A 12,706-nucleotide genomic window follows, 5' to 3' on the forward strand; every position below is an offset into this window, starting at 1 on the left:
TGCACTCCAGCCTGGGCAACAGAATGAGACCCTGTCTTAAAAAATAAATAAATAAATAAATTATCTGCACTCAAATCCTGGCTCTGCTTTTGCAGAGACCCAAACTAAGTCAATGGCAAAAGAAGATGGGATATGTACCTATTTGGAAATTAATAAAAAAGAAAAGAAAAAAAGAATCTATCCAGGTGGAGCAGACTGCTCCCTTGAGATAGACACTCCCATCCCAGCCTATCTCAGCACACACAGCAGTCTTCCTCCTTGTCATTGCCCTTGTTTAGGTCTAGCTGTCATCACCTAGGGTAAAAATAAAGCCCCTTCTTCCTCAAAACCATGCCTGTGAATCCTCGCCTTTTCTCACAGCCTGGGCTTATTATCCAGCTTCATTCTTAATTTGCGCTGTTCACTAGAATCAAGCAACTAGTTCAAGTTTAAAACAGTCTCTTATAACTGTGAGCAAACGTCAAGATCTTACTTGAGCTGAGTTATGAATACAGTGTCAAGTTCCTCTGTTGGCTTATCCTGACTTCAAACTGTTAAAGAGTATTTTCTGGCACTTACTGCTATCCTTTCCCCATTTTAGACAATAGGCTTTTTCTTTTTCTTTTTTTTTGAGGTGGAGTCTTGCCCTGTCACCCAGGCTGGAGATCTTTGCTCACTGCAACCTCCACCTCGCAGGTTTGAGTGATCCTCCCACCTTAGCCTCCTGAGTAGCTGGGATTACAGGCACTCGCCACCATGTCTAACTAATTTTTGCATTTTCAGTAGAGACGAGGTTTCGCCATGCTGGCCAGGCTGGTCTCGAACTCCTGACCTCAGGTGATCCACCTGCCTCGATCTCCCGAAGTGCTGGGATTATAGGCATGAGCCACCACGTCTGGCCATGGCTTTTTCTTTTAGATCCTAACCCTTAAGTTTTCCCTAGACCACTCTTCCTCTTCATTCTTTAGTTTGGGTTATTGCCATTGGGTACCTTTTAGGGTTTTTGTAGATACACACACACACACACACACACACACACACACACACACACACACACAGAGAGATAATCATGCATCATTTAATGGTAGGGATAAGCTCTGAGAAAGGCATCATTAGGTGATTTTATAGTTGTGCAAACATCATAGCATGTACTTACACAGACCTTAGTGTTATAGCCTACTGTGCACCTGTGCACAGGATATATGGTGTAACCTATTGCTGCTAGGCTACAACCCCGTATAGCATGTTAAAAACACAGATCCCAAACCATATCAGATGGGCTGCCACACAGGTGCAAAAGGCCCCATTTCACAGAGAGCCCTGAAGCTGGATGGCTCTTCAGAGTTGTCCCAATGCTCGGCCTTGATGAGCTCCTGACAGACCAGTCGTTGGATGCAGGCTGCTCTGGAAAGAGATGGTGACCTTGGGTGTGGCGGGTTGACTCAGTCCAGGTAATTCCTAAAGAGGGCTGACAGCTGAGAGCTGTTGGCTTCCAACATTCCCAGCAGCTGAGGAAATAAATCCTTCATCCCCGAAGGAGGGAGTAGGAATCTGGGAAGCGTGGCACCTGGAAGTCTACACTCTTCCACTCCTAAGTCTCTACCAATCACTAAATCCTCACCCTAATCTCTGCCTAGAGATCTTCAGGTTAAAAATCAGAGATCTAGCATCGTCTCAAAAAACAAACAGAAAAACTTGTAAAAATTCTGGTACCAGATAGTCCTTTTTTCTTTTTTTTTTTTTTTTTTTGAGACAGAGTTTTGTTCTTGTTGCCCAGGCTGGAGTGCAATGGTATGATCTCAGCTCACTGCAACCTCCACATCTCGGGTTCAAGATATTCTCCTGCCTCAGCCTCCCAAGTAGCTGGGATTACAGGCACGCGCCACCACACCTGGCCAATTTTGTATTTTTAGTAGAGATGGGGTTTCTCCATGTTGGCCAGGCTGGTCTCAAACTCCTGACCTCAGGTGATCCACCTGCTTTGGCCTCCCAAAGTGCTGGGATTACAGGCGTGAGCCACGGCGCCCAGCCAATAGTCCTATTTTCTTAAGAAAAGCCCTTTTTTTAAATGATGTCTGATGTTCAGACATCAACCCTTTTATTTGTAAATTAACGTCTATGTTCCAAAACACATTTCCGATGCCCTAAGCATTCTTTTCCAGATGCACCAAACTTTGTGAAATCTGTAGGAAATGAAAACTTGATTTCAAAAATAAACCTTGAAGCAATTTGAAAATAAAGAGGACATTCCATTTGAACCAATGCTAAGAGTTAAGCAGACCCACAGGTGCTGTGAACAAAAGTTCTTCAGAGTTCTTCAGAATTCGAAAAGATTGTAATAACAGATATCCTAGAGTGTGTGGCAGAATTTTAAAGTAGCTTAAGGAATACTCAGCAGGCTTCCAGCTAAAAGCTTATATGTTCTTTTTTCCCCTGAATTTAGAGTACATTCTAGGACCATTCAGACTTTATGAATTGATGTGAAGTCAGGGATGCAAGCCCACCTGAGGGTATGAACAACTCAATGTTAAGTCAGAGTTTGGGGCCGGACGTGGTGGCTCACACTTGTAATCCCAGCACTTTGGGAGGCCGAGGCAGGCGGATCACCTGAGGTCAGGAGTTCAAGACCACCCTGGCCAACATGGTGAAACCCCGTCTCTACTAAAAAAATACAAAAAATTCGGCACGGTGGTGCTTGCCTGTAGTCTCAGGTACTCAGGAGGCTGAGGCAGGAGAATTGCTTGAACTCGGGAGGCAGAGGTTGCAGTGAGCCAAGATCACACGACTGCACTCCTGCCTGGGCAACAGAGCGAGACTCTGTCTCAAAAAAGAAAATAAAAAGTCACTGACTGTTAGGGGTGGGCTGTGTTCTGCCTCCCCTCCACAAAAGATATGTTGGAGTCATAATCCCTTGTACCTCAGGATGTGACCTTATTGGGAGATACAGTTTTTACAGAGGTAATCAGGTTAAGATGAAGTCACTAGTGTGAAACCTAATCCAGTATCACTGGTGTCCTTATAGAATAGAGGAATTTGGACACAGAGTCACCATCTACAAGCCAAGAAACCCCTGAGGGTATTAGAAGCTGGGAGAGAGGATGCGAAACAGATTCTGTCTTATATTCCCCAAAAGGAACCAATCCTGCTGCCACCTTGATTTCAAACTTGTAGCCTCCAGAACTGAGACAATATATTTCTACTGTTTAAGCCACCCAGCTGGTGATACTTGACTACAGCAGTCCCAGGAAACACATAAGGCGACTCTGACAGCACCTTTCCTGTTCAGCCTTCCATTTCATATCCATACCGTCATCTTCCACGAAGGTAGCTCAGGAGTTGATGAACAAGACTCAATCCTGGTTTGATCACTTGGTTAAGTTACTTTGTTTCTTCAAGCCTGAAATAAGAACATGAATAATACCTACTATGGAGACCTTTTGAGTATTCACTGTGCTAATATAGATAAGATCCTTTCTAGGTGCCTATAAATTCAAGAGGGTCACATAAGACCCATTGGCTACTTGCCAACAAATGCTCATGGTCTAATGGTGGGTAGTCTGATCCTTGTAATTTGTATAGTTCTTAGAGATTCAAGCTCAGCACCACATCTTCTGTCCACCAGTGTCTATTATAAATATTGCTGTTATTTTCTCTTATCGACTCCCAATGACCAAAGCCGCTAAGTCTCCTGAAGCAAAACAATCAATTATCTTTATGTATTGAGGAAGCAGTAAACCAGAAAGATGACAACCTTAGAGCCAGAACTCAGCCTTTCTTGACAAGTCATTGTGGATCAATCTGGGGACATTGTATATTAATTAGCAGCATTGGGCCGGCTCAACGAGTCACCCAGCCAGAGACCAGCTTCCAGCCCCTTTTGACCCAGATAGGCACACAGGGCTTTATTATTTTAAAGGTATTTTTTTAAACCAGATAATCATGCTTGGTTTATGTGGTGCAGGCACTTTAAAATCATACCTAAACATTACAAAACCAAATACAGATGGTCTTTGGACTGTTGATTAGATTTGAGTATTCGAATGTTTTTCTTGCTTTGTCAGTGATAACTAGAAGCTGATTAAACCACGAGATATCACTTCACTAGGATATCTATACTAAAAACATTGAAAAATAGCAAGTATTGGTGAGAATGTGGAGAAACTGGAACCCTCGTACATTGTTGGTGGAAAGGTAAGTGGTACAGTGCTGTGGAACACAGGTTGGTGTTCCTCAAAATGTTTAACATATAATTACCATATGACCTACCTAGCATTTCTACTCCTATGTATGTGCCCCAAAGAAATGAAACCAGGTGGGGTGCAGTGGTTCACACCTGTAATCCCAGCACTTTGGGAGGCTGAGGCAGGAGGATCGCTTGAGCCCAGGAGTTCAAGACCAGCCTGGGTAACATGACAAAACCCCATTTCTTACAAAAATACAAAAATTAGCCGGGCGTAGGGGTGCGTGCCTGTAGTCCCAGCTACTTGGTAGGATGAGGTGGGAGGATTGCTTGAGCCTGGGGGGTTGAGACTACAGTGAGCTCAGTCAGCTGTGATCACACCATGGCACTCCAGCCTGGGTGACAGAGTGAGACCCTGTCTCAAAAAGAAAAAAATGAAATGAAACCAGAGACTAATGAGGATACTCATGTGCCAATGTTCATTGCAGCATCATTCACAACAGCCAAAAGATGGAAATAATCCAAGTGCCCATCAACAAATCAATGGGTAACCAAAATGTGGTATATGCATGCAAAGGCATATTATTCAGCTACAGGAAAAGGAATGACGTTTTGATATGCACTACAACGTGGATAAACCTTGAAAGCATTATGCTAAATGAAATAAACCAGATACAAATGGACAGATACGCATGCTTTCACGTATATAAAATATTTAGAATAGGCAAATTAATAAGAGACCGAAAGCATATTAGAAGTTACCAGGGGCTGGGGTTAGAAGTGAATGGGAGTTAAGTGTTTAATGGGTACAGAGTTTCTTTTGTGGTGATGGAAAAGTTTTGAAAACAGATAGTTGTAATATTAATAGTTGTACAACGTTGCGTGTAATTAACGCCAATGATTGTATACTTTAAAAAAATAACAAATATACATTTTACCATAATAAAATTAAAAAAAGGCTGATTACATAATCATTTTGTTCTTTTCAAAGTGAAACCAGAGGCTTTCCAAACTGCTCACAATGATTATCTCATTTCATCTTCACACGTGTCACGAGGTAAGGATTATTGTCTCCACGTGACAACTAAGAAAACTAAGGTTCAGTGAAGGGCTCATGGCCAAGTAGCTACTCACTGAGCTGGGATTGTGCTTGAGTCTACCTTTCTCTAACACTAAGTGGTCAATACATGGATTTCTCTGTCTATGATCTTCCGAGACAGCCCAGACGTATATGTGTGTATCCATTCCTTCTTTACAGCAGCAGATCCAGGTTAGTGGGGAGGAAGAATACTCTGGGCTCCATAAGGAGAATTTCCTGATTCTGAGGGGAAATTGAACAGAGTTTTCTCAAGGAGTCCAGGTGATTCTTTATAAATATAAGGTTTGCCTTGAAAGTGCCACTGTAATGCCTCATGTATTTTATGACCTCAGTTATCTGGAAGACAGCCAAGGATCCAGCACGAGCAAAAATCACCTGCTGACAACATAGGAGAGCTGAAAATAATAAAGTTATGCAAAGGTATCAAGGTTAGCTATTCCGTTGGGGGCTGCAGTCTCTGCATACTTTTACAACGCCTTTTCTCATTGCCATTCCCTGTCTGCAGCTTTAGTAGAGAGAAGCTGGAGCAGAGAAAGGAGGTAGCTTTTCTTTTTTTTTTTTTTGAGACAGAAAAAAAAAGGGTCTGACTTTGTTGCCCAGGCTGGGAGTGCAGTGGCACGATCTTGCCTCACTGCAACCTCTGCCTCCCAGGTTCAAGTGATTCTTCTGCCTCAGCCTACCGAGTAGCTTGGATTACAGACACATGTCACCACACCCAGTTAATTTTTGTATTTTTAGTAGAGCCGGCATTTCACCATGTTGGCCAGAGTGGCCCTGAACTGGGCTCAAGCGATCTGCCCACCTCAGCTTCCCAAAGTGCTGGAGTTACAGGTGTGAGTTACCTTGCCTGACTGGAGGCAGTTTTTCAAGAGAATTGCAAGTGACTGTAAAGAAGTGAATCTGGCCAGGTACAGTAGCTCATGTCTATAATCCCCACATTTTGGAAGGCCAAAGCAGAAGAATTGCTTGAGCTCAGGAGTTCAAGACTGGCCTGGGAAACAGTGAGACCCTTCCTCTACAAAAAATAAAAGATAAAAAATTAGCCAGGTACAGTGGCTTATGCCTGTAATCCTAGCACTTTGGGAGGTCATGGTGGGAGGACTGCTTGAGCTCAGTAGTTCAAGACCAGGTGGGCAACGTAACATAAAAAAAAATAACAATAAAAAAAATAAAACGTGGGCATGGTGGCGCATGCCTGTGGTCCCAGCTACTAAGTCTAAGGTAGGAGGATCATGAGCCCAAAATGTCGGGGCTTCAGTGAGCCATGATAGAGCCATTGTGCTCCAGCTTGAGCAACAGAGCACGACACTGTTTTAAAAAAAAATTAGCCAGGCACAGTGGCTCATGAGGCTGAGTCAGGAGGATTGCTTGAGTCCTGGAGATTGAGGCTGCAGTAAGCTATAATTGTGCCTTTGTACTTAGCCTGGGCAACAGAGTAAGACTCTCTTCTAGAAAAATAATAATTATAATTTTTTTTTCAAGAAGGCTGGATGCAATGGCTCATGCCTGTAATCCCAGCACTTTGGGTGGCCTAGGTGGGTGGATCATTTGAGGTCAGGAATTCGAGACCAGCCTGGCCAACACTGTGAAACTGTCTCTGCTAAAAATACAAAAATTAGCTGGGCGTGGTGGCATGCACCTGTAATCCCTGCTACTTGGGAGGCTGAGGCAGGAGAATCACTTGAATCCAGGAGATGGAGGCTGCAGTGAGCCGAGAATGTGCCATTGCACTCCAGCCTGGGCAACAGAGTGAGATTCCATCTCAAAATAAATAAACAAATAAATATAAAATAAAATAAAGAAAGAAGAAGAGAATCTGTCCTGCCTGGTGAGGTGGACATCCTCTTTGCACTCTTCCATGTCCGGTTCCTTCGTTTTTGTCTCCTTTCTGACTTCTCTTTATTCACTGGATTTTTAAATGTTGGTGATGCCCAGGGTTCTGTCCTTCCAACTTCTCTTCATATTGTACGTTCTCCCTTGACTGATCCCATCCGCAAACATGGCTTCAGCTACATTGGCTTGAGGACATCTACATCTCTAGCCTGGCGGCTCCACTGAATTTAGATTCATCTATCCATCACAAATTTCCAACCGGATGCACCCAACCGTAGTCATCATCTTTTTCCAAAACCTGAGTTTCTGTTTGAATAAAAACACCAACCAGCCAGTCACCCAAGCCAGAAACCTGGGAACCGCTCCCAGAATCCCCGCTTTTCTCTTCTCTTTTCTTTTCCTGCACTCTACTTCCTTTTCCTGTCCTGTCAATAGTATCTCCTGTACGTTGCTAATTCAGTCCCTCTTCTCCACCCTCACTGTGCTTTAGTTAATTCCTTTTTATCAAAACTTACCCAGACCACTACAGGAGACTGTGTTTCTCTCCCTATCTCCAGTCTTAGTCTTCTGCAATTTTTTTTCTCTAAGGAATGCTTAAACAAACAAACGAGATTACATTTGGTCATACTTTTCTTCTACCTAAAAGTGACTAATGCTCAAGGTAAATTTCACAAGATAAATTTCAAACATCCAGGCTTGACATGGCTGACAAGTTTATTCATGTTCTTCATCACATGTTCTCGGGCCACTTTCCTACACACAACTTGAGCTGTAGTCATCCTGGCCGACTCGTAATTCTAAAAATATGCCATTGCCCATCTTGCCTATGTGCTTCTACACAAATTGTTCTCTCTACTTGGAATGTCTACCCACTCCCTTGTCCTCTACCTCTCTGCCCAACTTTTATGCATCCTCAGGGACTTAGCTCAAACATCATTTCTTAGAGGTATGTTCTGACAACTGAGCTGATCTGGAAGCTTGTTCTTTGTAACTCTCCCAATTATTAGCCTGTGCAGAACTCTACTCCTTATCACATGGATTTTCTTGTATGGTGCCTTCATTAGGCTAATTATTATAGATGAGAACTGCATCAAGCACATGTCTGATACATAGGAGAGAATGAATGACATGTTGAATCAATGCTTCCTGCTTAGAAAATTATTCCATCTCGGCCGGGCGCGGTGGCTCATGCCTGTAATCCTAGCACTTTGGGAGGCTGAGGTGTGTGGATCACCTGAGGTCGGGAGTTCGAGACCAGCCTGGCCAATATGGAGAAACCCCCTCTCTACTAAAAATACAAAAAATTAGCCAGGCTTGGTGGCGCATGCCTGTAATCCCAGCTACTTGAGAGGCTGAGGCAGGAGAATTGCTTGAACCCGGGAGGCGGAGGTTGTGGTGAGCCAAGATCGTGCCATTGCACTCCAACCTGGGCAACAAGAGCGAAACTCCATCTCAAAATAAAACAAAACAAAATAAAATAAAATAATTCCATCTCAGTCCAAATCACAAGGAGTTGATAGACAACCCCTCCCAGCAACAACAGTAATGTCCTAAGGGCTCCTTAAGATGCCAGGGTTGAAGAGAAAAGACAAATAGATTGAGACTGAAAGTCAGAGCTTGTTAGACAGACATTGGAGACATCAAAAGGGCATTAATGACAATGAGCCTGGATTATTCAGTGCGACCACTCATCCCGGAAGCTGGTGGACATCCCTTGCTTTTGCCTCCCAGTGATACTTCGCCTTTCTTTTAGTAATGGTAGCTTAGTATGTCTTAGAGATACCAACCCAATCCCTGTGGTTCAGGTGGGGCTGATTCCAGGCTTTCACTCCATTGATAAGTACAGGTCCTAGGTCTGTCAAATCATAACATTCCATTCCCTTTGCCTCAGCAGTTGGTTCAGTGATAGGCACATAACACAAGCCAGACCAATGATACTAAACACCAAGACATTCTCTGGAGCTATCTAGAAAGAGTTTCTTTTTCCAGTGGGGTTTTTGGTGGAAATATAAGGTGGAATTATAAGCCTGCGGTGACTAGTTACCATTTTTGCCTACATCTGGAAGAAGAGTTGAGAATGAGGCCTATGTAAAAGAAAGAGGTCCTGAGAGGCAGGAAAATACATTGCTGCTGGTAATGTTTTGAGTATCTAATCCAACTTTGCATAACACCAAGCCTGTTTGTTTTGATTTTCTAGTTACATGATAAAATAAACCCCTCCACCCCCCCTTTTTTTTTTTGAAGCAGAGTCTTGCTCTGTCACTCAGGCTGGAGTGCAATGGTGCGCTCTCAGCTCACTGCAACCTCTGTCTCCCAGGTTCAAGCAATTCTCCTCGCTCAGCCTCCCAAGTAGCTGGGATTACAGGTGCCCACCATCACGCACAGCTAATTTTTTGTATTTTTAGTAGAGACAGGGTTTGCCATGTTGGCCAGGCTGCTCTCGAACTCCTGACCTCAGGTGATCCACCCACCTTGGCCTCCTAACGTGTTGGGATTACAGGGATGAGCCACCGCTCCCGGACAAATTCCCCTTTTTGAATACGGAAATTCAATTTGGATCTCTGTTGCTTGCAACCTAAAGAGTGTTTATTAATATAGAAATCAGAATAGCCAACACATCTATAGAAAAAATGTGAATACAGATGTTCTGTGATCATGTGACATGGATGTGCTTCCTTCCATCCAAATCATCTCACCCAGTGACTCTCTGGGCATGTAGTACAGTAAGGGAGTGGTAGTCTCAAACTACTTCAACTGTGGTCCACTTACATGGAGCATACCTACTCCCCATTCCATTCACATATTAAAAAAAAAAAAGGGGTTTCCAAATTTATTTTGTTTTACATATTTAATTACTAAGCAAAACATGAATACATTCTTGTTTGAAACATTATAGATAAAGGAGAAAGTCCCCTGACTTTTACTTGACCATTCCCTTCCAGAGGTCACTCTGCATCCAGCTAGTATCCTTTAAAACCCTGTAACTCAGTGAAGGAGCATATAGGCATGTAGAGGTTTGTGTCACACGGTGGCTGTGCAGGTGACAGTGAGTGTGATTATGTAGGTTCTGCCCACATATACAGCAAGAGTAAAGTTGAATTAAAATGTCCCAGCCACAAAAAACACTTCCTGTCTTACTCCATCATCCAACCCCAGAGATACCTGAAACCGAACTCTCTTTTAAATCCCTTCTATGTATTCAGAAATCCTCTCTAAAAGGCTGCTATTTAAAACTTTCTTGGGAAGGGGAGGATAAGCTAAATATAATTTTTCTCATATTTTCTTTCACTCATTCAAAATAATATATAGGTAATATATGAACATGTGCTTAATTTAAAAGATTACAAAAGACAGAAATACATGGAACAAAAGGTAATCTTTCTTTCTTTCTCTTCCTTTCTTCCTTTCTTTCCTTCTTTCCTTCCTTGCTTTCCTTTCTTTCCTTCTTTCCTTCCTCTCTTCCTCTCTTTCTTTCTCTCTTTCTTTCTCTCTTTCTCTTTCTTTCTTTCTCTCTCTCTCTCTCTCTTTCTTTCTCTTTTATATTTTACTTTAAGTTCTGGGATACATGTGCAGAATGTGCAGTTTTGTTACATAAGTATACATGTGCCACGGTGGTTTGTTGCACCTATCAACTCCTCAACTAGGTTTTAAGCCTCGTATGCATTAGGTATTTGTTATATGGCATACTTTTCTAGTCCTTTTTCTATTATGTTGGTGTAAAAGTAATTGCAGTTTGCACCAACCTAATATGTACTTTTATTTTATATATGTAATGCAGCAATATATTTTAGAAACTTTTTCAAGTCCATGTCATAAGATTAAAAGATTAAGCTGTGAAAAACAGCGAATATGCCATTTGGTAATGACGTACAGGATGGGCAAGTTTTGAAGGGCGGGAAGGGTTTAGGAATGGTTGTACCCAAGCCTAAATAGGGAAGGCTGGGCTGGGTCGGGTGGTGTGTTGAACATTCATATGGGTGGAGGCACTCAGTGGGGCCGTGTCAAAAGCAAAATTCACTGACTTTCCAATTTTTCCAGACCTGCTTGTCAAATCCTGAGCCTGGGAGGATGGCTGTGTTAGTGGCAGTAATGGAGCTCTAATGGTTTGTATTCTTACTTGCTATTAAAATTCAGGGTTTTTTTTCTTTCTTTCTTTCTTTTTTTACCACAATGCTTATTGTTCCTTTTTTTCAGATAAATCAAGGTAAATACCTTTTTCCTTCCTATGTGGTAATTTTGTAAACTGAATCTTTGAAGAATTGTTCTTGTTTTGAGTTCTCTTCTTTTTAATCTGGTAGAAATTTCCTCTTCCTTGTGCTCCACTTCCTTCTTAACTTCTTCCTCTTCCTCCTTTTTTTTTTTTCTTTTTCTTTTCTTTTTTTTTTTTTTTTTTGTTTTTTTGAGACGGAATTTCACTCTGTCACCCAGGCTGGAGTAAATGGCACCATCTCGGCTCACCACAACCTCCACCTCCCAGGTTCAAGCAATCCTCCTGCCTCAGCCTTCCGAGTAGCTGGGATTACAGGCATGCGCCACCACGCCTGGCTAATTTTTGTATTTTTGTAGAGACAAGGTTTCACCATGTTGGCCAGGCTGGTCTCGAGCTCCTGAACTCAAGTGATCCGCCTGCCTCAGCCTCCCGAAGTGCTGGGATTACAGGCATAAGCCACCGTACCTGGCCCTAATTTAGGCTCAGTCTCATGATTACTTATCTAACATGCCAACTGTTTTACGCTGAGGTTCACAGAATGTTGAATACACTTCCAAGAGACTGGAGTATATGGGCTTTGGTGTGATATAAAATATACCACCAGATGGCTGGGCACAAGACTTTGCCTTAGGAAAAAAAAAATAATATATATATATATATATATATATATATATATATATATCACCAGGATGACTGACCATACTGCCCTTTTTTCTGGAAAGTAATGTAGTGCCAGGGAGAAAGTGATGGGCTATAGAAAGTTAGACAGGCCTGGGTGTACATCCAGGTTATACCACTCACTAGTTTCATGATCTCAAGAAGGTGCCTCACAGGTCTCAGTGTTTTCTTCTATAAAACAGGGAAATGCCTGCTGGGGTAGTTGTCAGATTAAAAAAAAATTATACATATAACACTGATTCAATAAATGAGTACTTCTACTAATTCCAGGAGATAAAACAGAAAGACAATAAAGGAGTACTATTTTCCCATCTTAGCATTTTGATTTTGAGAATAGTCTGTGGAAATTTTATACTACCCATCAAGTCAGCCAAGGCAGAAAAGAAGAGAGAAATTCAGTCAGATTATCTGTCTGAAAGAAAACACTGCTTTATGTTTCTCTTTTGCTGTATTCACTCAGAAACCTGAGCTTGCATGACCTAGTGCAGGAAGAAAAGGAAGCTCTAGAAATATGATTCCTGCTTTACAGAGACAGGATGATAGAATATCTGCAAAACACATACAGGAACTAGCATAATGTCTTGCTAAATGTTTGTTCAGTAAAGACATTAACCCCAATTTCACAATAGTAACGAGCTACCTTTCTAAGAGTCAATGAATTTCCTTTTAACATTCTTTCATTTTCCTGTTTGTATATATCAGGAAGTTTGAGTTATGAATGACCTCA

This window comes from Homo sapiens, chromosome 2 (assembly GCF_000001405.40).
Source record: "Homo sapiens chromosome 2, GRCh38.p14 Primary Assembly".
NCBI classification, from domain to species: domain Eukaryota; kingdom Metazoa; phylum Chordata; class Mammalia; order Primates; family Hominidae; genus Homo; species Homo sapiens.